We start from the raw sequence: 27,353 nt of genomic DNA, 5'->3' as shown, positions 1-27,353 counted from the left end.
ACAAACAAATGTAAGAATATTCCATGCTCATGGGTAGGAAGAATCAATATCGTGAAAATGGCCATACTGCCAAGGTAATTTATAGATTCAATGCCATCCCCATCAAGCTATCAATGACTTTCTTCCCAGAATTGGAAAAAACTACTTTAAACTTCATATGGAACCAAAAAAGAGCCCGCGTCACCAAGTCAATCCTAAGCCAAAAGAACAAAGCTGGAAGCATCACGCTACCTGACTTCAAACTATACTACAAGGCTACAGTAACCAAAATAGCATGGTACTGGTACCAAAACAGAGATATAGACCAATGGAACAGAACAGAGCCCTCAGAAATAATGCCACATATCTACAACTATCTGATCTTTGACAAACCTGGCAAAAACAAGCAATGGGGAAAGGATTCCCTATTTAACAAATGGTGCTGGGAAAACTGGCTAGCCATATGTAGAAAGCTGAAACTGGATCCCTTCCTTACACCTTATACAAAAATTAATTCAAGATGGATTAAAGACTTACATGCTAGACCTAAACCCATAAAAACCCTAGAAGAAAACCTAGGCAATGCCATTCAGGCCATAGGCATGGACAAGGACTTCATGTCTAAAACACGAAAAGCAAAGGCAACGAAAGCCAAAATTGACAAATGGGATCTAATTAAACTAAAGAGCTTCTGCACAGCAAAAGAAACTGCCATCAGAGTGAACAGGCAACCTACAGAATGGGAGAAAATTTTTGCAATCTACTCATCTGACAAAGGGCTAATATCCAGAATCTACAATGAACTCCAACAAATTTACAAGAAACAAACAAACAACCCCATCAAAAAGTGGGTGAAGGATATGAACAGACACTTCTCAAAAGAAGACATTTATGCAGCCAAAAAACACATGAAAAAATGCTCATCATCACTGGCCATCAGACAAATGCAAATCAAAACCACAATGAGATACCATCTCACACCAGTTAGAATGGCAATCATTAAAAAGTCAGGAAACAATAGGTGCTGGAGAGGATGTGGAGAAATAGGAACACTTTTACACTGTTGGTGGGACACTAAACTAGTTCAACCATTATGGAAGTCGGTGTGGTGATTCCTCAGGGATCTAGAACTAGAAATACCATTTGACCTAGCCATCCCATTACTGGGTATATACCCAAAGGATTATAAATCATGCTGCTATAAAGACACATGCACATGTATGTTTATTGCAGCACTATTCACAATAGCAAAAGACTTGGAACCAACCCAAATGTCCAACAATGATAGACTGGATTAGGAAAATGTGGCACATATACACCATGGCATACTATGCAGCCATAAAAAATGACAAGTTCATGTCCTTTGTAGGGACATGGATGAAATTGGAAACCATCATTCTCAGCAAACTATTGCAAGGACAAAAAACCGAACACTGCCTGTTCTCACTCATAGGTGGAAATTGAACGATGAGAACACATGGACATAGGAAGGGGAACATCGCACTCCAGGGACTGTTGTGGGGTGAGGAGAGGGGGGAGGGATAGCATTAGGAGATAAACCTAATGCTAAATGATGAGTTAATGGGTGCAGCACACCAACATGGCACATGTATATATATTTAACAAACCTGCACATTGTGCACATGTACCCTAAAACTTAAAGTATAATAATAATAAAATAAAATAAAAAAGCTCATATATTACTATATTACACATTTTAAAATATTTTAATAACTATATTTCATATAGATTTCCTATTCTATTATTATAGCTTCCTTTATAATCCCATGTACATTATTTCATGCACAAAAACACAATTCTAGCAGAATACATACACAAGTGTACATGAAACATTCTCCTGGATAGACCATATGTCAGGCCGCCAAACAAGTTTTATTAAGGTTAAAAGGATTGCAACCATATAAAACATGGTTCTAGCTTCATGAAGCTAGAAATCAGTAACAAGGAAAATAGAAAAGTTCACAAATATGTAGAAATTAAACTACACACTCTGAAACAATCAATATGCTAGAAAAGAAACCACAAGGAGGATTAGAAGATATTTAGAGATAAAAGTAAACAAAAACATAGCATTAAAGAAACTTAGGGAATACAGTAAAAGCGGTGTTCAGAGGTAAATTTATAGCTCATAAATGCCTCTATTTCTATGCAAGGCTGGTTCAACATCACAAATCAATAATCTAACTTACCACCTTAAGGAACTAGAAAATGAAGAGCAGACTGAAGACAAAGCTAACAGGAAGAAAGTAATAATAAAAATTAGAGAATAGTGACAAGAAAAATAATGAAGAAAATAAATGAAACAAAAGTTGTTCCTTTAAAAAAATCAATGAAATTGATAAAGCTTTAGCTAGACTAAGAAAAAAAGAGGGAAGATGCAAATAACTAAATTCAGAAATGAAAGCTGGGGACATAACTACTGACCTTATAGGAATAAAAAGGATTATAATACTATAAGTAATTATATGCCAACAAATTCTATATACTAACCTATATGAATATAAATTCATGGAAATATACAAATTACTAAAACTGATTTGAGAATAAATAGAGAATCTGAAAACACCTATAACAACTAGATATTTAATCAGTAACCAACATCCTCATAAAGAAAAGTCCAGCACCAGATTTCACGTGAATTCCACCAAACATATAAAAAAGATTTAACATCAATCTTTCTCAAACTATTCCAAATTAACAGAATAAGAGGGAACATATTCTAACTCATTCTATGAGGCCACACCAATACCAAGGCCAGATAAAGACACCACAAGAAGAGAAGACTACAGGCCAATATCCTTTAAGAATAATAAACTAATTCAGCAAAGTTGCAGGGTACAAGAGCAAAACACAGTACAGTTGTGTTTTTTATGCCAGCAATAAATAATCCAAAAAAGGAAGTCTGAAAAATAATTCTATTTACAATAGTACCCAAAAGAATAAAATGCCTAGAAATGAATTTAACCAAGAAAATGAAAGACTTGTACACTGAAAATTGTAGGACATTGCTGAAGGAAATTTTAAAAGACCTAAATAAATGGAAAACTTCCCATGTTAATGATTTACTATTAATTCTGTTAAGATGGCAATACTAGCCAAAGCAGTTTAAAGATTCAATGCAATTCTATCAAAATTTCATCAGTCCTTTTCTCAGAAATAGAAAAGTTGATTCAGGCCAGGTGCGGTGGCTTACTCCTGCAATCCCAGCACTTTGAAAGGCCAAGGCGGGCAGATCACTTGAGGTCAGGAGTTTGAGACCACCCTGGCCAACATGGTGAAACCCCATTTAGACTAAAAATACAAAAGTTACCCAGGCATGGTGGTGCACGCCTGTAATCCCAGATACTTGGGAGGCTAAGGTAGGAGAATCACTTGAATCTGCGAGGTGGAGGTAACAGTGAGCAGAGAGATTGCCCCACTGTACTCCATGCTTGGGCCACAAAGTGAGTGAGACTCTGTCTCAAAAAAAAAAAAAAAAAAGTTGATTCTAAAATTCATATGGAACTGCAAGCTAAACAATCTTGAAACTGGTCAAACAGCCAAAATGATCTTGAAAAAGAACAAAATTGGAGGACCTGTACTTGTGATTTCAAAACATAAAGTTATGGCAATCCAAACAGCGTGGTACTGGCATAAGGATAAACATACAGACCAGTGAAACAGAACTAAGAGTTCAGAAATAAACCCATACTTCTATTACTAATACATTTTCAACAAGGGCGCTAAGACCATTTGATGGGGGAAAAGATTAATCTTCCCAACAAATGGTGCTGGTAAAACTGTATATCCACGTTCAAGGGAATGAAGTTGTGCCTCTACGCCATCTGCACAAATTAACGCAAGATGGGTCAATGAGCAAAGCAAGGGGCAAAAAGCATAAAACTCTTAGAAAAAAATATAGGGTTAAATCTGGGTTTTGGCAATACATTCTTAGATAGGACACCAAAAGCATAAGCAATGAAAAAAAAATAAGCTGAACTTCATCAAATTTAAAAAGTCTTGTGTGTCAATGGACATTATTAAGAAGGTGAAAAGACAACCTACAGGATGCGTGAAAATATTTGCAAATCATATATCTAACAAGGGTTTATTCTCTAGAATATAAAGATACTTACAACTCAATAACAAAAAGACAATGCAATTAAAAAATGAACTAAGGGCTTGAGTAGACATTTCTCCAAAGAAAATATACGATTGACAACAAGCACATGAAAATATGCATAATATTATTAGTCACTAGAGAAATGCAAATCAAAACCACAATGACATACCACCTTACACCAACAAGTGTGGCTATCAAAAAATATTATCTATGTGTATGTGTGTGTGTGTGTGTGTGTGTGTGTGTGTATATATATATATAAAGTAATGGCAAAGATGTCAAGACATTGAAACCCTCATATGTTACTGATGGGAATGTAAAATTGGTCTGTGGAAAACAGTTTGGTGAATCCCAAAAAGTTTAACACAGAATTTCCACATGACCTAGCAATTCCACTACTGAGTATATACTTAAAAATAATTGAAAAGTGGTATTCAAACAATTACATGTAAACACTTGTTTACAACAGGACTATCTGCAATAGCAAAAATGTAGAAACAACCCAAATGTTAAACAAATTGTGGTATATACACAGAAGGAAATGTTATTCACTCCATAAAAAGGAATGAAGTACTGATATATGCTCTCACTTGGATGAACCTTGAAAACCTTATGCTAAGTAATGGAAGCCAGACACAAAAGAGCACACGTTGTATAACATCATTTGTATGAAATATCCAGAATGACAGAAAGCAGGTTACTGGGTGCCAGCGAGTAGTGGAAGAGGATAGTGAAGAACAATTGCATTTATTTATTTATGTATTGATAGTATGATTTTACCTTTAATCTCTGTGCACCATTACTTAGAGAAAAAGAAAACTTCAATTTAGAAATAAAATAATCATCTACATCAAATGAGAAAAACTAAAACACAATAAAACACAGCATAGGAAAACTTGTTGATGATGTCTAAAAGTTTTGTAGTTTACCATCAACCCTATCTAGTTAGAAAGCATCCTACTCTCTGAGTATTCTTCTTCTTTTTTTTTTTTATTTAAGTTCTGAGACACACGTGCAGAAAGTGCAGGTTACATAGGTATACATGTGCCATGGCGGTTTACTGCACCCATCAACCCGTCATCTAGGTTTTAAGCCCCACATGCATTAGGTATTTGTCCTAATGCTATCCCTCCCCTTGCCCCCCATCCCCCGACAGGCCCCAATGTGTGTTGTTCCCCTCCATGTGTCCATGTGTTCTCCTTGTTCAACTCCCACTTACCAGTGAGAACATGTGATGTTTGGTTTTCTGTTCCTGTGTTAGTTTGCTGAGGATGACGGTTTCCAGCTTCATCCATGTCCCTGCAAAGGACATGAACTCATCCTTTTCTATGGCTGCATAGTATTCCTTGGTGTATATGTGCCACATTTTCTTTACCCAGTCTATCATTGATGGGCATTTGGGTTGGTTCCAAGTCTTTGCTATTGTAAATAGTGCTATAATAAACATGTGTGCATGTGTCTTTATAGTAGAATGATTTACAATCCTTTGGGTATTCACCCAGTAATGGGATTGCTGGGTCAAATGGTATTTCTGTTTCTAGATCCTTGAGGAATTACCACACTGTCTTCCACAATGGTTGGAACAATTGCTTTTAAACTAGCTTTTCACCCTCTACTCTTTTGGTCCTTGGTATTCTCCAGGGTTCTGTCCATGGGCGTCTTCTGCATATAATACTGACTGGCTGACGATTCTGAGCTTACTAACTGTAGGAGCATCAGTTACTGTATAATTCTAGACAAGTGATATAACATTTTTTCTACTCATGTTTTTCTTTACATTGGAATATAAAGAGAAAGATAATATCTACTTCAAAATCTATAATTGCTGGATCTATTTCTAACTGCTTAATAGACACTTCCGTCATGATAGTCTAAAGGCAGTTCAAATTAACCATTTCTTCCTAAATCTCTTCTTCTGTCTGACTTTCTATATCAGTAAATGGAAATTTTATCTATTCACTATTTTGTCCAAGCAATTTTATCTAAACACTCATTTTTCTCTCTGTACTAGAAACTCATTGTCATCTTTATTTCACTCTTTTCATTCATCCCTTCATAGAAAATTGTTCTCCTAGTCTTGTTAGTCAACTAAAATCTCAGAAACAACTCCCCTCTTCTCCCTTCTCTTTGCCACTGCTGTGGTTTAGGCCTTTATGATATACATAAAATGTGGAACTATAAGGTTAACTGTTCTTGCACTGGTCCCAGCCTACACTAAAACATTAGTTTTCCTCAGATTTTCATACTTGCCCCTCTTTTTTTTAACATTCTTCTTAACTTCTCTGGATGATCGAATTATTTTTCTTGGTTTCAACTTCTACTTTTTCTTTGATGACTCGTAAATGAACATATTTATTCTTGAAATTCAGATTTCAAAAGCTTCAGACTAACATGTTGAGCATCCTTTCAAACATCTCTAACTGCTTCTCTGATACCAAGGGCATGTTCAAAACTAAACCCATCACCTTCTTCTCTAATCCTGCCCTTCCCATATAATTTTTAGCTGCATTGGTGGCTCCTGATCTACCCTGTCATTCAAACTTAAATCCAGCCAGTGGAGGTGGCTTCTCCTTCCTGAAGCTAAATTAGGAAGGAGACTAGGACGTTTTTATTTTATACTTTTGTATGTGGAGAAACCCTGTCTCTACTAAAAATACAAAATTAGCCAGGCATGGTGGCACATGCCTGTAATCCCAGCTACTCAGGAGGCTGAGACAGGATAATCGCTTGAACCCAGGACGAGGAGGTTGCTGTGAGTCGAGATCATGCCATTGCACTCCAGCCTGGGCAACAAGGGTGAAACTCCGTCAGAGAAAAAAAAAAAAAAAAAGCTTCCCAAATTGTAGGTGCCTCAGAACCTTAAAAATCTGGATCCATTTCTGTCTGCAGCTAATTCTTTATATCTCTCTTTATCTGCAATTTCACCTCAAGGAGAATATTGAGTTATTTTACATACACAAGAATTTTTAGATCCATTTCAGCATTTTCCATCTTCAACTCTACAGTAGCAGTTTAAAGCATCATCATCTGTTACCTGGAGGACTGAAACAGCTTCCTACTGATCTGCCCACACTCAATGTATATTCACATCAAATTAATTATTCATATAATCTGCAATTATTGAATAAAAATAAAATTTTAAAAGCTCTACAAATACCACCTTGCGAATTTGCTACTTAATTCTGATCTATAATTTTAGGAGACAATCCAGGTTCCTTGGTATGGCACTTAAGGATTTCCAAGAAATGGCTTGATTTACTTATCCTTATTTCCCATTTCTGCCATTCTTCCTCATTTATCACAGTCTTGATTTTATGTTCTAACATTATTAAACCACTTGCACACACCCTCACAGACTGCACTCATTCTTTCCTCCATGTGTTTCTTCATATTTTTCTCCCCTACTTGGAATTACCGATATATTTTTGCCAACTGTCTCTCTTTTTTTTTTTTTTTTTTTTTTTGGAGATGGAGTCTCGCTGTGTCACCAGGCTGGAGTGCAGTGGCATGATCTCAGCTCACTGCAAGCTCTGTCTCCTGGGTTCACACCATTTTCCTGCCTCAGCCTCCCCAGTAGCTGGGACTACAGGCACCCGCCACCACACCCGGCTAATTTTTTTACATTTTTTAGTAGAGACGGGGTTTCACTGTGTTAGCCAAGATGGTCTCGATCTCCTGACCTCGTGATCCGCCCGCCTCAGCCTCCCAAAGTCCTGGGATTACAGGCATGAGCCACCGCGCCCAGCCTGCCAACTTACTCTGCCCAAGGTACCATAACAAAATCCTACAGACTGGGTAGCTTAAACAACAGAAATTTATTTTTTTCACAGCTCTAGAGGCTGGAAAGTTTGTCTGTTTTCATCTGGTACACACAGGAAGATTTCACCCGTACAGTGGTGAAGGTCAACAAGATCAGAAATGGAGATGATCGGCTAGGCGCGGTGGCTGACGCCTGTAATCCTAGCACTTTGGGAGGCTAAGGCGGGTGGATCACCAGGTCAGGAGATCAAGACCATCCTGGCCAACATGGTGAAACCCCGTCTCTACTAAAAAAGGACAAAAATTAGCTGGGTATGGTGGCGCATTCCTTTAATTCCAGCTACTGGGGAGGCTGAGGCAGGAGAATCACTTGAACCACGGAGTCAAAGATTGCAGTGAGCCAAGACTGTGCCACTGCACTCCAGCCTGGCAACAGAGCAAGACTCCATCTCAAAAACAAAAAAAGAAAAAATGGAGATGATCTTTTACCTGTACTCAACTATCTGGATTAGTTTGTTATGTGAGTAGCCAATGAAAAATTACAGACATAAGATGAAAACTCACAATTTAGAAAGAGAATAGCAAGTTGCATAACCAAAGAAACAGCTCCTACTAAAACAGAAATTTTTTAAAAATCCAATTATTATTCACACAAACATGCATATTCATACACACAGGCTTTCACTCTGATAATGGCATACTAGGTGATTTGCACTAACCCTTTTGCTGAAGATGACTAAAAAACTCGATTAAAAGTCAGAAAAGATTTACTTAACATCCAAGACCTAAGATATTAGGGAATTTCTTGCTAAGAGAATAGAACAAAAAGAGATGAACTAGAGCCCTCCTGTTCAGGGAATAATTGCCTTTGTAGAAAAAGCACCTGAGAGGGGTGGAGTTCTTTAAAGTGAAAAGGTGTGAGGTTCAAGGTCCTGAAGTCACCAGAAACAGAGAACCTGAAGAATATCCCCTCTTCCTGGATGTCATTCTTACTCTGGCCAAAGTGCCTATTCTTGTGGAAATGGCTTGAAGGCAAGCTGACCTCTTGGGTAAATTTCAGGAGCTGGAAGGACAAGTCAGAATGTAATGCGTGACAAAGGTAAAAACCTAAGGTAATGTATACTCTAATGTGGTAGGGACGCTCAGGAGTTGTACTCTTAAACTGAGGTATTTTGGCAGATCATCTAGGTAGCTCAGAAAGTCCTCAAGCCTTAATTTGAGACTGCTTTCACTCCCAGGTACCTGGAATACAAAAAATAAAATTTCTTTTTCAAATGATCTAACCTGTCATTCAAGCTTCTTCCAAATATCTGGAAGAAGGTATATTCCAAGTCCCAAATTATTTCCTACAAATAATTTCTCAAAATGTTTAGGCAACAACGAAAGACTATAAGGACAATAAGAGACATACAAAGATGACAATAGTCAAAATCAGTACCAACAATTGTCAATAGAAACAGAAACACAGAAAATCTATATTTGCAAACCATCAAATGTAGAAACTACTGCAGTTATAGTTATTACAACCAATGAAATATAAGCTGAATTTAAGATTATAGCAAATGTGGAAAAAGTAAAATGTGATACTGAAGATTCAAAAACTAATGAACTAGAAATAATAGAACTGAAAAATAGAATAATAAAAATTTAACACTCAATAGATGGGTTTAACACCGGTCAAGAGAAAATTAATAAACTAGATGATTTATCAGAAGAACCCATGTGGAATGAAGCATGATGAAACAAAAATATGGGACACACATGGGAGAGGATAACAGACATCAAAAGACACAGCCCAATGTACATTAAATTTGAGTTTCAGAAGGAAAGGAAAGGAAAGAAAAATGAGGCAGAAGCAATGTTTAAGAGAACTGATATTTGAACTCAGATTGATGAAAGAAACCAGTACCTATTCAACAGTTCTAAAAAAGCACTTGCAGAATGAATAAAAACAAATTCACATGATAGTGGAGCTGCAGAAAAGAAAAGACAATAACAAAATCTTAAATGCAGCAGAGGAGCAGATTAAATTCATAGGAGTAGCACAGACTATAACTGATACCTTGACAGTGATTTTGGAAGCCAGAGCAAGTATAAACATTTATTTAAGAAAGTACAGTTAGAAATGGAATTGAATTCATTAATTGAATGCAATAAAACCTTTCCCACAAAGAAAACTATGACTTCATACAGCTTCTCCAGAAGGTTCTATCAAAGATATTTTTAAAAATCCAATGTTACACAAAGCCTTCTAGAGAACAGGAAAAAGAAGACAGAGCTCTCTCTGATCTTTCCTTATTTTATGATACCAACATAACCTTGTTACCAAAAACCAACAAAAGCAGTATAAAAAGGACACAAATGTAGGCCAGCCTCAATCATGATCACAGATGCACATAAATCTCACGAAGTTGATGCAACAGCCATAAATCTTTACATTTTAGTTCACATTGCATAAAAATATATAAGTAAAAAATTGTTATAAATAAAAGACAATAAATATGATTGTATTACTAATTTAAAGTAATAGCAAAAACTTAAAAAGACATTCATAATGTCTAGCTTGATTATAAATAGAAATAAAATGTGATCTTTAAGTTCTCTGCAACATCTATAAAATCAATATTTACAAAATAGGTCATGTTCCATCACATGGAAATTTCAATACATTCTAAAACATAGATGCCTAGATTCCTTTGTTTTTTGCTATAATTCAACCAAAGTAAAAATGAATTCCCCATACAAAGGAATGATTAGATTATGTGAAACGAGAAAGAAAGAAATTAGAAACAAATCTATCCCCAAAAGAAATAAATAGTTGAATTAATAAATAAAAAATGAAACCTAGTGATAGAGACTGATACAGTACTAAAACTCTGGTAAGTCTGCCAAAGGGCCAAAATATGGATATATACAAGAAGACACAAATACATAAATATTAGTCATGAGAATGGCATCACAAAAGCATTTACATACAAGTGTTTTAAAATGAGAATGAAAATTATATAAAAACTATAGCACCCTAACTAGATAATCCAAAGTAATGGGTGACTTTCCAGAAAAATATTTAAATTTAAGTATTTACAAAGAAATATGAAATATTAATAGACCCTAGAAAAAAAACACAGAAAATTATCAGAATTACAACCTTGACCATAGACACCAGATCCAGTTACTTTAAATTTGACTCAAGCCTTCAAGGACATAATTTATTATCTTATTTTAAAATTTTACCTGCTTCAGGTCATAGTATATGCTTAAAAATTATTTAATCTTAAAGCTAGAAGTACCTTTGCTGCAAAATCTGACTAGGATATCATACACACAAATGCACACATAAACACACACACACACACACACACAGAGATGGAGGGGCGGGGAGAGAGAGAGAGAGAGACAGAGATTGACAAGAGAGAAAGGAGAAAATGGAAGCAGTTCCTACCAAGCCTAGGTTCAACAGTTAAACAGAACCATAACAAGATTCTACAAGGTCTTAATATAAATGTCTTGGAAAAAAGTTTGCCACACTCAAATAATCATGTGAAACACAAAGGCCTTCAACAAAATTTAATATAATTGCCAGATTTCTCAGTCTTTAAAATGCCAATTTAAGTGTAACTTTCCATGAGGGACATTTGGCAAGTACTATAGCCATTTATTTATTCATCCTAAAAATAGTATATATTGAATATCCCATGTTTTAGATGCTGACATATTCATCAGGGATAAAGAAACCTGCAAAATACAAACAAACACTCAAAGAGCTCACATTTTAATGGCAGAAACACACAGCAAACAAATAAATGCATTATACAATATAATGTTAAGCATATTTCCTTGTTAGGAAGGCAAAACCTGAGTAGAAGGACAAAGAGCAATGGATGAGGTACACAAGTGGTCAGAAAATACTTCTCTAAGGAGGTATTTGAGCACTGACCTGAATGAAATAAGGAAGGAGGCATAGGACTATATGGGGTGTAGGGTATTCTCTAAAGAGGAAAATATCAAATATAACGGCAAAAGAAGGGTTAGTGTGCTCAAGGAAAAAGAAAAAGGTCAGGTTGGCAAGAATGAGAACAGAACAAGGACAGGCAAGAGTTTTAGGAAACAAGGCTGGAGAGTCAGATCATACAGAACCTCACAGAATTTAGATTTTATTTTAAAAGTGATTATAACCCCCTGGAAAGCTTGAACCATGGAATTAATAAGATCTGACTTAACATTTAAAAGGGTCACTCTGAGTGTTTAGGGGCAACAGATTGTATAGAAGAAAGGGTAAATGTAGATAGACCATTACCAGGCTACTGCAGTGTCAGGTAAGAAATTACGGTGACTTAATGGAACAGAATAGAGCCCTCAGAAATGATACCACACATCTACAACTATCTGATCTTTGACAAACCAGACAAAAACAAGAAATGGGGAAAGAATTACCTATTTAATTAATGGTGATGGGAAAACTGGCTAGCCATATGTAGAAAGCTGAAACTGGATCCCTTCCTTACACCTTATACAAAAATTAATTCAAGATGGATTAAAGACTTAAATATTAGACCTAAAACCATAAAAATCCTAGAAGAAAACCTAGGCAATACCATTCAGGCCATAGGCATGGGCAAGGACTTCTTGACTAAAACACCAAATGCAATGGCAACAAAAGCCAAAATTGACAAATGGGGTCTAATTAAGCTAAAGAGCTTCTGCACAGCAAAAGGAACTACTATCAGAGTGAACAGGCAACCTACAGAATAGGAGAAAATTTTTACAATCTACCCATCTGACAAAGGGCTAATATCCAGAATCTACAATGAACTCAAACAAATTTACAAGAATAATTCAAACACCCCCATCAAAAAGTGGGCAAAGGATATGAACAGACACTTCTCAAAAGAAGACATTTATGCAGCCAAAAGACACATGAAAAAATGCTCATCATCACTGGCCATCAGAGAAATGCAAATCAAAACCACAGTGAGATACCATCTTACACCAGTTAGAATGGTGATCATTAAAAAGTCAGGAAACAACAGGTGCTGGAGAGGATGTGGAGAAATAGGAACACTTTTACACTGTTGGTGGGACTGTAAACTAGTTCAACTATTGTGGAAGACAGTATGGCAATTCCTCGAGGATCTAGAACTAGAAATACCATTTGGCCCAGCCATCCCATTACTGGGTATATACCCAAAGGATTATAAATCATGCTGCTATAAAGACACACGCACACATATGTTTATTGCGGCACTATTCACAATAGCAAAGACTTGGAACCAACCCACATGTCCATCAATGATAGACTGGATTAAGAAAATGTGGCACATATATACGATGCAATACTATGCAGCCATAAAAAGGATGAGTTCATGTCCTTTGCAGGGACATGGATGAAGCTAGAAACCATCATTCTGAGCAAACTATCGCAAGGACAGAAAACCAAACACCACATGTTCTCACTCATAGGTGGGAACTGAACAATAAGAACACTTGGAAACACGGTGGGGAACACCACACACTGGGGCCTGTTGTGGGGTGGGGGGAGCAGGGAGGGATAGCATTAGGAGATATACCTAATGTAAATCACGAGTTAACAGATGCAACACACCAAAATGCACATGTATACATATGTAACAAACCTGCACACTGTGCACATGTACCCTAAAACTTAAAGTATAATAAAAAAAAAAGAAATTACAGTGACTTGATTAAGGAGTAGTGATAAAGACATTGCAAAGTAACTGGAGCCAGCATATATTTTGAAGGTATTTCTAATTGGGTTTGCTGATAGACTGAATGTGAATTATAAAGAGAAAGAGAAGAAAGGATGACTCTAAGGTATTAGCAAACAAATGGCAAGGGCATTATTATTACAGTCACTAAGAAAATTATAAACTAATTATAAAATTAATAATTTATAATTATTCCACATTATAATGAAAGTTTGGGCCAATGCAATAAAACAAAAAAAAATGAGAACTAGGGGGTTGCTTCCAAGAAGGCCAAACAGGAACAGCTCCGATCTGCAGCTCCCAGGGAGATTGATGCAGAAGATCGGTGATTTCTGCATTTCCAACTGAGTTACCTGGTTCATCTCATTGAGTCTGGTTGGACAGTGGGTGTAGCCCACAGAGGGTGAGCTGAAGTAGGGCGGGGCATTGCCTCACCCGGGAAGCACAAGGGATCAGAGGATTTCCCTTTCCTAGTCAAAGGAAGCTGTGAGTGACTGTACCTGGAGGAGCGGTACACTCCTGCCCAAATACTGCACTTTCCCCATGGTCTTCGCAACCGGCAGACCAGGAGATTCCCTCCTGTGCCTGGCTTGGCAGGTCCCATGCCCACAGAGCCTTGCTCACTGCTAGTGCAGAAGTCTGAGATGGACCTGGGATGCTGGAGCAAGGTGGGGAAGGGGCGTCTGCCATTGCTGAGGCTTAAGTAGGTGGTTCTATGTTCACAATGTAAACAAAGCAGCAGGGAAGCTTGAACTGGGCGGAGCCCACTGCAGCTCAGCAAGGCGTATTGCCTCTCTATTTTCAACCTCTGGCGGCAGGGCATATCTGAACAAAAGACAGCAGACAGCTTCTCCAGACTTAAATGTCCCTGCCTGTCAGCTCTGAAGAGAGCAGTGGTTCTCCCAGCATGGCATTCGAGCTCTGATAATGGACAGACTGCTTCCTCAAGTGGGTCCCTGACCCCCATGTAGCCTGACTGGGAGACACCTACCAGTAGGGGCCAACAGATACCTCATACAGGCAGGTGTCCCTCTGGGATGAAGCTTCTAGAGGAAGGATCAGGCAGCAATATTTGCTGTTCTGCAGCCTCCACTGGTGATACCCAGGAAAACAGGGTCTGGAGTGGACCTGCAGCAAACTCCAACAGACATGCAGCTGAGGGGACAGTCTGTCCTAACAAACAGAAACCTAACAAACAGAAAGTAATATCATCAACATCAACAAAAAGGACATCCACACCAAAAGCCCATCCATAGGTCACCAACACCAAAGACCAAAGGTAGATAAAACTACAAAGATGGGAAGAAACCAGAGCAAAAAGGCTGAAAATTCCAAAAACCAGAATGCCTTTTCTCCTCCAAAGGAAAACGACTCCTCGACAGCAAGGGAACAAAACTGGATGGAGAATGAGTTTGACATGTTGACAGAATTGGACTTCAGAAGGTCGGTAATAACAAACTTCTCCAAGCTAAAGGAGCATGTTCTAACCCATCACAAGGCAGCTAAAAACCTTGAAAAAAGGTTAGACAAATGGCTAACTAGAATAAACAGTGTAGAGAAGACCTTAAATTACCTGATGGAGCTGAAAACCACAGTACGAGAACTTTGTGAAGCATGCACAAGCTTCAGTAGCTGATTTGATCAAGCAAAAGAAAGGATATCAGTGATTGAAAATCAAATTAATGAAATAAAGCAAGAAGACAAGATTAGAGACAACACAGTGAAAACAAATAACAAAGCCTCCAGGAAATATGGGACTATGTGAAAAGACCAAATCTATGTTTGATTGGTGTACCTAAAAGTGACGGGGAGAATGGACCCAACTTAGAAAACGCTCTTCAGGATATTATCCAAGAGAACTTCCCCAACCTAGCAAGGCAGGCCAACATCCAAATTCAGGAAACACAGAGAACACCACAAAGATAATTCTCAAGAAGAGAAACCCCAAGACACATAATTGTCAGATTCACCAAGGTTGAAATGAAGGAAAAAATGTTAAGGGCAGTCAGAGAGAAAGGCTGGGTTACCCACAAAGGAAAGCCCATCAGACTAACAGCTGATCTCTCTGCAGAAACCCTACAAGCCAGAAGAGATTGGGGGCAAATATTCAACAATCTCATAGAAAAGAATTTTCAACCCAGAATTTCATATCCAGCCAAAATAAGCTTCATAAGTGAAGAAGATATAAAATCCCTTACAGACAAGAAAATGCTGAGAGATTTTGTCACCACCAGGCCTGCCCTACAAGAGCTCCTGAAGGAAGCACTAAACATGGAAAGGAACAACCGGTAGCCACTGCAAAAACATGCCAAACTGTAAAGACCATCGACACTATGAAGAAACTGTTTGCATCAATTAATCGGTGAAATAACCAGCTAGCACCATAATGACAGGATCAAATTCACATATAACAATATTAAACTTAAATGTAAATGGACTAAATGTCCCAATCAAAAGACACTGACAAGCAAATTGGATAAAGAGTCAAGACCCATCAGTGTGCTGTATTCAGGAGACCCATCTCATGTGCAAGACACACATAGGCTCAAAATAAAGGGATGGAGGAAGATCTACCAAGCAAATGGAAAGCAAAAAAAAAAAAAATGCAGGGGTTGCAATACTGGTCTCTGATAAAACAGACTTTAAACCAACAAAGATCGAAAGAGACAAAGAGGGTCATTACATAATGGTAAAGGGATCAATTCAACAAAAAGAGCTAACTATCCTAAATATATATGCACCCAATACAGGAGCACCCAGATTCATAAAGCAAATTCTTAGAGACCTAAAAAGAGACCCAGACTCCCAAACAATAATAATGGGAGACTTTAACACCCCACTGTCAATATTAGACACACCAATGGGACAGAAACTTAACAAGGATATCCAATACTTGAACTCAGCTCTGGACCAAGCAGACCTAATAGACATATACAGAACTCTCCACCCCAAATCAACAGAATATACATTCTTCTCAGCACCACATCGCACTTATTCTAAAATTGACCACATATTTGGAAGTAAAACACACCTCAGCAAATGTAAAAGAACAGAAATCACAATAAACTGTCTCTCAGACCACTGTGCAATCAAACTAGAACTCAGAATTAAGAAACTCACTCAAAACTGCACAACTACATGGAAACTGAACAACCTGCTCCTGAGTGACTACTGGATACATAACGAAATGAAGGCAGAAATAAAGATGTTCTTTGAAACCAATGAGAACAAAGACACAATGTACCAGAATCTCTGGGACACATTTAAAGCATTATGTAGAGGAAAATTTATAGCACTAAATGCCCACAAGAGAAAGCAGGAGAGATCAAAAATCGACACCCTAACCTCACAATTAAAAGACCTAGAGAAGCAAGAGCAAACAAATTCAAAAGCTAGCAGAAGACAGGAAAAGAATGAGATCAGAGCAGAACTGAAAGAGATAGAGACACAAAAAACCCTTCAAAAAATCAATGAATCCAGGAGCTGGTTTTTTGAAAAGATCAACAAAATAGATCGCTAGGAAGACTAATAAAGAAGAAAAAGAGAAGACTCAAATAAATGCAATAAAAAATAATAAAGGGGATATCACCACCGATCCCACAAAAATACAAACTACCATCAGAGAATACTATAAGTACCTCTACGCAAATAAACTAGAAAATCTGGAAGAAATGGATAAATTCCTGGACACATACACCCCCCAAGACTAAACCAGGAAGAAGTTGAATCTCTGAATAGACAAATAACAGGTTCTGAAATTGAGGCAATAATTAATAGCCTACCAACCAAAAAGAGTCCAGGACCAGACAGATTCACAGCCGAATTCTACCAGAGGTACAAAGAGGAATGGACACCATTCCTTCTGAAACTATTCCAATCAATAGAAAAAGAGGGAATCCTCCCTAATTCATTTCATGAGGCTAGCATCATCCTGACACCAAAGCCTGGCAGAGACACAACAAAAAAAGAGAATTTTAGGCCAATATCCCTGATGAACATCGACGTAAAAATCCTCAATAAAATACGGGCAAACTGGATCCAGCAGCACATCAAAAAGCTTATCCACCACGATCAAGTCAGCTTCATCCCTGGGATGCAAGGCTGGTTCAACATATGCAAATTAATAAATGTAATCCATCACATAAACAGATCGAATGACAAAAACCACATAATTATCTCAATAGATGGAGATAAGGCCTTTGACAAAATTCAACAGCCTTTCATGCTAAAAACTCACAATAAACTAGGTATCAGTGGAACACATCTCAAAATAATAAGAGCTATTTATGACAAACCAACAGCCAATATCACTGAATTGGCAAAAACTGGAAGCATTCCCTTTGAAAACCGGCATATGACAAGGATGCCCTCTCTCACCACTCCTATTCAACATAGTGTTGGAAGTTCTGGCCAGGGCAATCAGGCAAGAGAAAGCAATAAAGGGTATTCAAATAGGAAGAGAGGAAGTCAAATTGTCTCTGTTTGCAGATGACATGATAGTATATTTAGAAAACTCCATCGTCTCATCCCAAAATCTCCTTAATCTGATACGCAAAGTCAGCAAAGTCTCAGGATACAAAATCAATGTGCAAAAATCACAAGCACTCCTATATACCAATAACAGACAAACAGAGAGCCAAATCAGGAGTGAACTCCCATTCACAATTGCTACGAAGAGAATAAAATACCTAGGAATACAACTTAAAGGGATGTGAAGGACCTCTTCAAAGAGAACTACAAACCACTGCCCAACAAAATAAAGGAGGACACAAACAAATCGAAAAACATTCCATGCTCATGGATAGGAAAAATCAATATCATGAAAATGGCCTTACTGCCCAAAGTAATTTATAGATTCAATGCTATCCCCATCAAGCTACCACTGACTTTACTCACAAAATTGGAAAAAACTACTTTAAACTTCATATGAAGCCAGAAAGAGTCCACATAGCCAACACAATCCTGGGCAAGAAGAACAAAGCTGGAGGCATCATGCTACCTGACTTCAAACTATACAAGGCTACAGTAACCAAAACAGCATGGTACTGGTACCAAAACAGATATATAGACCAATGGAACAGAACGCAGGCCTTCAAAATAATAGCACACATCTACCACCATCTGATCTTTGACAAACCTAACACACACAAGCAATGGGGGAATGATTCCCTATTTAATAAATGGTGTTGAGAAAACTGGCTAGCCATATGCAGAAAACTGAAACTGGACCCCTTCCTTACACCTTATACAAAAATTAACTCAAGATGGATTAAAGACTTAAACATAAGTTCTAAAATCCTGGAAGAAAACCTGGGCAATACCATTCAGGACATAGGCATGGGCAAAGACTTCATGTCTAAAACACCAAAAGCAATGGCAACAAAAGCCAAAATTGACAAATGGGATCTAATTAATCTAAAGAGCTTCTGCACAGCAAAATAAACTATCACCAGAGTGAACAGGCAACCTACAGAATGGGAGAAAATTTTTGCAATCTATCCATCTGACAAAGGACTAATATCCAGAATCTACAAAGAACTAAAACAAATTTACAAGAAAAAAACAACCCCATCCAAAAATGGGCAAAGGATATGAACAGACACTTCTCAAAAGAAAACATCTGTGCAGCCAACAGACATGAAAAAATGCTCATCATCACTGGTCATTAGAGAAATGCACATCAAAACCTCAGTGAGGTACCATCTCATGCCAGTTAGAATGGCAATCATTAAAAAGTCAGGAAACAATAGATGCTGGAGAGGATATGGAAAAATAGGAACGTGGTAGGAGTGTAAATTAGTTCAACCATTGTGGTAGAGAGTGCAGCAATTCCTCAAGGATTTAGAACTAGAATTACCATTTGACCCAGTAATCCCATTACTGGGCATATACCCAAAGATTCTACAATAAAGACACATGCACACGTATGTTTATTGCAGCATTAGTCACGATAGCAAAGACTTGGAACCAACCCAAATGTCCATCAATGATAGACTGGATTAAGGAAATGTGGCACATATATACCATGGAATACTATGCAGCCATAAAAAAGGATGAGTTCACGTCCTTTGCAGGGACATGGATGAAGCTGGAAATCATGTGTCTCAGCAAACTATCACAAGATCAGAAAACCAAACACCATGTGTTCTCACTCATAAGTGGGAGTTGAACAATGAGAATACATGGACACAGGGAGGGGAACATCACATACCAGGGCCTGTGGGGGGTGTTGGGCTAGGGGAGAGATATCATGAGGAGAAATGCCTAATGTAGGTGACAGGTTTTTGGGTGCAGCAAACACTCATGGCACGTGTATACCTATGTAACGAAACTGCACATTCTGTACATGTAACACAGAACTTAAAGTATAATTTAAAAAAAAGAACAAATGACAACTATAAATGTTGGAAAGAATGAGACAAGTTTTTGCAGTTGATATGATGCCTAACTAGAAAATCTAAATAATAAACTAAATACAACTTTAAAAACTAGTTGGAATATTCAGTAAGGGAACTGGGTATAAGGCAAAAAAGCCAACATTAACAGCTTTCCTTTATATCAGCAATACAATTAAAAATATATATGAATAAGCCATAGAGAAAAAATCTACAAAGTTTTATGAAGTAAATATTTACTTATTGACAACAAAAGGTCTCTAGAATTTATCAAATGAAAAAAGCTGGAGTTTATAGAGCATTTAGTATTAGCCCTTTCAAAATTACCTATACAAATTGTGTGAGTTTGTGTGTGTACATACATATGTATGTGTATATGATATGTACATACATATGTGTGTATGATATGTACATACATATGTGTGTATATGATATGTACGTACATATGTGTGTAGATATGTACATACATATATGTGTGTATATATGTACATACATATGTGTGTGTATATGGTATGTACATACATATATGTGTGTATATGTACATACATATATGTGTGTGTGTGATATGTACATACATATATGTGTGTGTGATATGTACATACATATATGTGTGTATATGATATGTACACACATATATACACACATAGATAAGTGTATATGTAGTTGCAGCTATAGCAAAACTCTTAACACTAAACCATTGGTGGCAGATAGAGAATGAGAGGATGCTACTCTTTGAGGGAAGGTATTGTGTTTTTCCACTTTCTATAGTGTTGTTTATCATAAGCATTATAAAACTTATGATCAGAAAAAAAGAAAATTATTTTTATTCAAAAGCACAACCAAAATTCCCAGTAATAGCTGATATAACAGCTAATCTTTATTAAATGCCAGATACTGCACTAAGAGCTTTACAGGTATTAATTCATGTACTCCTCATTAGCACAATAGTTCCTCCCTAGGACCTTAGTATGATAACCATCCATATTTTATAGGTGATAAAGTTGAGACAAAGAGGAAATGCAACCTGTCCAATTTCACACAGAATGAAAATGGTTTGGAATTGACACAGCCAGATTCAGAAGCCCAAGCTTCTAACCACTATGTTGGACTGACTATAAAATTTTAAAAAATGTTATATACCATATAAACACTACAAAAGTAGTCCATACAGAGTAGGGGGAGGAAGAATATAGTGAGTAAAAGGAAGAACCTGTTGAAATGAAAAGAAGAAAGCATAAACAAACATGACAGATGACTGAAAACTTAAATTTCCTGCTATCCTATTACAGGTTAAACTTCCCTGTGGAGTGAAATCACTCTCATTATTTATACACCTTGAGGATAGTATTGTATTTTTTACTTTCTTCTTTGTGCTTTTCTGTGTTTTTCAAGTTTTTACACTATTTATTTAGTAGTAATGAGAGGTGAAGCTGGCCGGCTTCTGGGTCGGGTGGGAACTTGGAGAACTTTTCTGTCTAGCTAAATGATTGTAAATGCACAAGTCAGCACTGTATCTAGCTAAAAGTTTGTAAACACACCAATCAGCACTCTGTAAAAATGCACCAATCAGCACTCTGTGTCTAGCTAATCGGGTGGGGACCTGGAGAACTTTTCTGACTAGGTAAAGGACTGTAAATGCACCAATCAGTGCTCTGTGTCTAGCTAAAGGTTTGTAAACGCACGAATCAGCACTCTGTAAAAGCAGACCAATCAGCACTCTGTAAAACGGACCAATCAGCAGGATATGGGCAGGGCCAAATAAGGGAATAAAAGCTGGCCACCTGAGCCAGCAGCAGCAACCCACTCGGGTCACCTTCCACGCTGTGGAAGCTTTGTTCTTTCACTCTTCACAATAAATCTTGCTGCTGCTCACTCTTTATGGGCTGCTCACTCATAAAGGGTCCGCACTACCTTTATGAGCTGTAACACTCACCACAAAGGTCTGCAGCTTCACTCCTGAAGTCAGTGAGACCACGAACCCACCCGAAGGAAGAAACTGTGGACACATCTGAACATCTGAAAGAACAAACTGCGGACACACCATCCTTAAGAACTGTAACACTCACCACGAGGGTCCGTGGCTTCATTCTTGAAGTCAGCAAGACCAAGAACCCACCAGAAGGAACCAATTCCGGACATAGTAATACTGTTACAAAGAGTTCTGAGTGACAGATTTCTCAGGTCTATCAAGCATAAATCACCAACTTGCCCATAATGGGAGTAAAATATGAAACAGGAAAATAAACAGTTTGAGATAATAATTTAGTCCTTAATGATTCCCATTGTGTTTCAGCTTCATATGTTAATATATCAACATTTTTAGTAGTAGTGGTTTCAAGAGTATTGACATGCACAGAGAATCCCAAAAGATGCCAGATAATTCAGCTTTTATAGTATATTACCATATTCTTGCATTTCAGCTCCATATATATCACAATCTTCAGTATTAGTGGTTTCAAAAGTATTACTATGTAGAGAAAATTCTAAAAAGATGCTAGATAAATCAGCTTTTATAGTATGTTAGCGCATTCTTGTCCTAAAGACTGAAATTTGATATAAATGTCAGGATTGTTACCCGTATTTTCAATATATTATTTATCTAAAGCAAACTGTTCTTTACTGGCTAATTTGCCTGAACTTATTAGAGAGTAAAAGCGCCTCACAATTTGAATAAGAGCTCATATGATTATTTATTATAGCCCTTCAAATAACCAACAATTACTATAAAATTCTTTCTGTCTCAATAGAAATGAAAAGTAGGCAGCAGGATTAAACTGCCTGGAGCAGATGCTTGTCAAAACAGCAGAAACTCTCCAAGTATCAGACCAAGGAAGTGCCATTTAAATGCTAGGAGATCAGCATGTTCTTATGAACAGCTTATAATTACCCAGAAAGGGGAAAACACACTAATCAGGACAATAACGTTTGCAAATGCTATTCTGAAACGGTCTAGTGGTGACCCTCCATTTCATTCTTTTCCTTTCCTTGATTAAATTAATATGCAGACATTCCTCTGGATACTGAATCCAAACTGATCAAATATTTAGAACTACTATTTTCACTGTATTAAAATAAGACCTGAAACAATCAAATTAGTTTGCAATATGAACTTTGTCTCTATTTCAGCATCTGGTGAGCAGATTTTCATTTTTATTGAAAGGAAAGACATTCTTACAGTCAACCGGATCCTACCTCTGGAGTTCATAGATGAACCTGGGGCTCCTGAATGAACATTACGGGGTATTAAAATAATCTGCAACTAGTTGGAGTTTGTTTGCATGTGCAATTATCTGAAAGGAAGGTCTACAGTGTTCAGCAGTTCTAGAGTCGGTCTATGATATTCCCCCAACCCAGCACCAAAAAAAAAAAAAAAGGTGAGAACCACTGGGAGAAAACCTGTGACTTAATCAGATAGGAAGTAGAGTTTGAGCTAAGAACTTTAGAGAAACCCCTTTACCTATGTTCATTTCAGGAAAGGCCATGCATCAGGCTGCTAACAAAGAATCAGTTTGGAAGTTAGGAAAGGGGACTAGGAAAGTTAAGTGAAACTTATATCAAGCCAAGTGCCTTTAGGGTAGCTTATGTGGTTATGTGCAGGCCTTAGCTTTAGGTCCAACAGTCAAAGACAATTCAAAATAATAATAATCAATGAGTAGGAAACTGTGTATTTGAAACCTAGTTGGTACACTTATAGAATACAGCATCTAACTGCTTAGAAAAACTTGACTTTTCTAAATGCAAGAAGAGAGAGAACACTCCTAAGAAGGACAGGGCGCCCTGTGTGTGAAGTGGTATCATGTAATGATAGCTTGGAGAAGGACTTTTTCAAGGCTTATGGATGAGCTCATGATTTGAAAGAAAGCCTTATCAATTGGAGGGACCCGTGCACCTTCCATTCTCTCAGGATCCTCAGAGAACCCCCCCACCCCCGAGACAGATGGCTGGGAGACCTGAGGCATAGTGACTTGTCTCTCTTGTTTTGTTCCTGCTGCCTGACAACCAAAATAGCTCTTTTTGTGGTACTCAATTACATTTGTGAGTTAGAAGTTCTCACCTTGAGCTCTAAGATAGTGAAAATGAAATAAAATAAACCAGTATTGTCTCACTTGGCAGCACCATCACCAAGGTGCATCTCATAAGAACTAGATCAAATGGCTCTATCTGGGCAGAGAAATGACCCGGAGACCTGTGTCAGAACTTCAGTCTAGATTCTAGAGAGTGGTTCTTGCCTTCTAAGTCTCCATCTCCCCAGGAGGCACCTCTGATCATGACCTTCTTTCTCTGCTCTTTTTGGTTCAGGCATCATCTGCAAAAGCCCTGACCCCTCCTATGGAAAAGTAAAAGGAGTCAGTTGGTATTTGCACAAAAAAGGCTTCATATTAGCCATGAAAGTGCAAACTGCAGAAATAAAAGTCTAGTGAGGCAGAACATGAGAGACACGATTATAATTAGCTTTGCAGCTTTGCAAGCTGTGTTTTTTAAATTTTATATAAAACATTTGATAATCATGGAAATGGCGAACTTGAGCCCAATTCTAGAACTTTTGTGTTGAAAGGATAATAATCATAAAATTGTGTATTAGTATTAAAGGCTGATGACTGAGATCAGGAAAATGTAAATAGAAAGGGAAGCTGATGTATGATAAATGAGTTGGTGCATTGGACTGGACACCTTTCTCTATTCATCAGTTCTTTGTGTTGTCCTCTAATTTGGCTTAGATGGTTTACCAGAATGCATGAGCTTTGGTGAGTGTGCACACAAGTGTGCCCTGTGTGCAATTTGGGCAGCAAATGACGCGATTTAGGAAGCATCAAGTGGGAAGTGCTAGGGTGGGATCAGAAGGAAGTGGCATTTAAGGTGTTTTGGCACGGCCAGGGAGGGAGCTCCCTGCAAAGGACATAACATTCTCCCAGAAAGGAACAATGGCCATAAAAGCATCTGAGGGGAGAGAGAGAAACACTGGTTTCCCTCATCCAGAGGAAATAATTTAACTAGTAGTCTGACTCAAAGCTTCTGCATCTAGAAACAAATGCCTGAATTAACTGCAATTTAGATAACTTAATTAAGTCTGACTATATTGTAAATATTAGCAGGGTATGAAATTATTTTTCCTCTTCCAGGGAAAAACCCTTTAATCACCATTCAGGGATTATTATATTTTCCTCTGGGAAAATAAAATACTTTTTATTTAATAGGACAAAGGGGACTCAAAAATAAAACAGAACTTGTTCTCTGCTTCATTAAGCAAAATTCTGTTCCAAGGGAAATGCCACTATAGAACAATAAAGACTGGATTCTAAATATATTTTATCTCCAAATTCAGGGGTCAACCACTACTGTTCTCTGGCTCTGGCCTCCTGAGAGTTGAAATTATTTTTCCCTTGATATAGAATATCAGTGATATTGCCCACCCTCAAACTGATACTCAAAAGTTCCCCCAGCAAGGCGTAAAGGGCAGTTCTGTGAGCATAAGGAGACTCCCAGGCAATGAAGAATGGGGTGGGTAGCAAATAGATCCAGAGATGCTCACACGAAAAAGCCTGCCTAGGAAAGCTTCATTAAGAAAGAGGTGGGGCCGGGCGCAGTGGCTCACGCCTGTAATCCCAACACTTTGGGAGGCCGAGGGGTGGGTGGATCACGAGGTCAAGAGATCGAGACCATCCTGGCCAATATGGTGAAACCCCGTCTCACTACAAACACAAAAATTAGCTGGGCATTGTGGCATACGCCTTTAGTCCCAGCTACTCAGGAGGCTGAGGCAGGAGAATCGCTTGAACCTGGGAGGCGGAGGTTGCAGTGAGCTGAGATTGTGCCACTGCACTCTAGCCTGGAGAGAGAGGGAGACTTCGTCTCAAAAAAAAAAAAAAAAAAAAAAGGAGGGAAGGGGTGTTCGTGAAGCATCTTAATATCAGTAATCCAGATGGGACTAAGAGAGGGTTGTTAGAAAATGGACTTCTCACATCATCTTATGAATACAGTGTGGGCATATATAAGACATCTTAGGAAAAACTGCAAAACTTTACAAGGAGATGCTGGTGGGAACTGTGAGCAGAATACATAATATTATGTACTTTTGATGGGGACATTAGCTAAACCTTGTGATGCTAGAGTATGTTCCCCTCAAATGGTGTGCAACGAAGAAACTTCTATAAAGTGTGCTTTGGCTCAATCTTTTGTAGACCAGCCTCCCCACTCCCAGTCCCAGGATTTCTTGTAGCAGGGAACAGTAACTGTGGCTTGGGAGAGAAGTGGCAGTGAGTAATGCAGAGCAGGAAGTAGTAGCTAGGAGCAGGGCTGCCCAAGAACCAGCCTATTCTGGTCCAGAGGTAACAGATAACCTTCTAACAATGCAGTCCTGGCAATCTCTAGATGGAGAGTAACTACCCAGCATCTAGGTCTGATTTTCCCAAGCAGCTTGTCCTGACAAAGTCTAATACCACTCAGACTTTCCTGGTGTTATATCAAATCCTCCAAACAGTTGCTCTTTCTCCCAAACCCTCAGTAACTTGGGTCTAAAACCCACACCAGAATAAGATACATAAGATAGAGCATTCTACAACAGACACTTGTGGCTTCCCTGTCCACTACAGCAGGCATTAGTCAGAGGCTGCTGAGCACCTGAAATGTGGCTGGACTGAACTGAAATGTGTTGTAGCTAAAAAATACACACTGATCAAAGACTTGGTAAAAACAAAATAGAATGTAAAGTATCTCATTAATAATTTTCATGTTGGTTACATGTTGTAATGCTATTTTGGCATACTAGGTTAAATAAACTTAAAATTTATTAAAAAATAAAAATAGAATTTATTAAAAATGTATTAAAAATACATTTTTAAATGTGGCTACTAACATTATGCATGTGGCTTGTGTATGTAAACTGCCCTCTATCTCTAATGGACAGTGATACTCTAGAGGCTATTGATGGTGAGATCAGCCCTGTCTTCTCCAATCTCTCCAAAGCAAATACAATAATGTTTGCTTTGATTAAATCTTTTCCAGTGCCTGGCAAAGAGCACAGGGTGAGTAGTCAACAAACACCAGTGTTCCCTGCCTAAGAACTATATAACACATGTGATGGTTAATTTTACATGTCAATATGACTGGGTCATGGGGTGCCCAGACATTCAGCCAAACATTATTCTGGTTGTGTCTGTGCGGGTGACTTGGGATAAGATTAGCATTTGAAGCCACGGATGGAGCAAAGTAGATTAACTTTCCTTATGTGGGTGGGCCTCATCCAACAATCAAAGACCAAAGAATACAAAGGCTGAGTAAGAGGGAACTCCTCCTGCCTGACTGTTGAGCTAGGACACTGGTCTTTCTTGGCTTTTTGATTCTGACTGAAACACTGGCTCTTCCTGGGTCTTG

At 37.9% G+C, this 27,353-nt stretch overlaps 1 protein-coding gene across 3 annotated transcripts in view, besides 2 other annotated features; it reads right to left on the bottom strand.

Annotated features, from left to right (window-relative positions):
* KCNN2 (potassium calcium-activated channel subfamily N member 2) overlaps positions 1-27,353 on the bottom strand; it is a 440,519-nt gene that overhangs the window by 203,647 nt on the left and 209,519 nt on the right. The gene's annotated exons all lie outside the window — the stretch shown is intronic.
* Positions 13,757-14,256: an enhancer, noted in NCBI's record as "H3K4me1 hESC enhancer chr5:113614291-113614790 (GRCh37/hg19 assembly coordinates)". NCBI's record gives its function as "activates a minimal SCP1, AML or CMV promoter by ChIP-STARR-seq in naive and primed H9 embryonic stem cells {active_cell/tissue: H9 hESC(naive and primed)}" and the evidence as "EXISTENCE:reporter gene assay evidence [ECO:0000049][PMID:30033119]".
* Positions 14,257-14,758: an enhancer, noted in NCBI's record as "H3K4me1 hESC enhancer chr5:113613789-113614290 (GRCh37/hg19 assembly coordinates)". NCBI's record gives its function as "activates a minimal SCP1, AML or CMV promoter by ChIP-STARR-seq in naive H9 embryonic stem cells {active_cell/tissue: H9 hESC(naive)}" and the evidence as "EXISTENCE:reporter gene assay evidence [ECO:0000049][PMID:30033119]".

The sequence above is a fragment of the Homo sapiens genome, chromosome 5 (assembly GCF_000001405.40).
Source record: "Homo sapiens chromosome 5, GRCh38.p14 Primary Assembly".
NCBI classification, from domain to species: Eukaryota; Metazoa; Chordata; class Mammalia; order Primates; family Hominidae; genus Homo; species Homo sapiens.
Note: the sequence above shows the minus strand (reverse complement) of the source record. Positions and strands in the feature narration are given on the sequence as shown.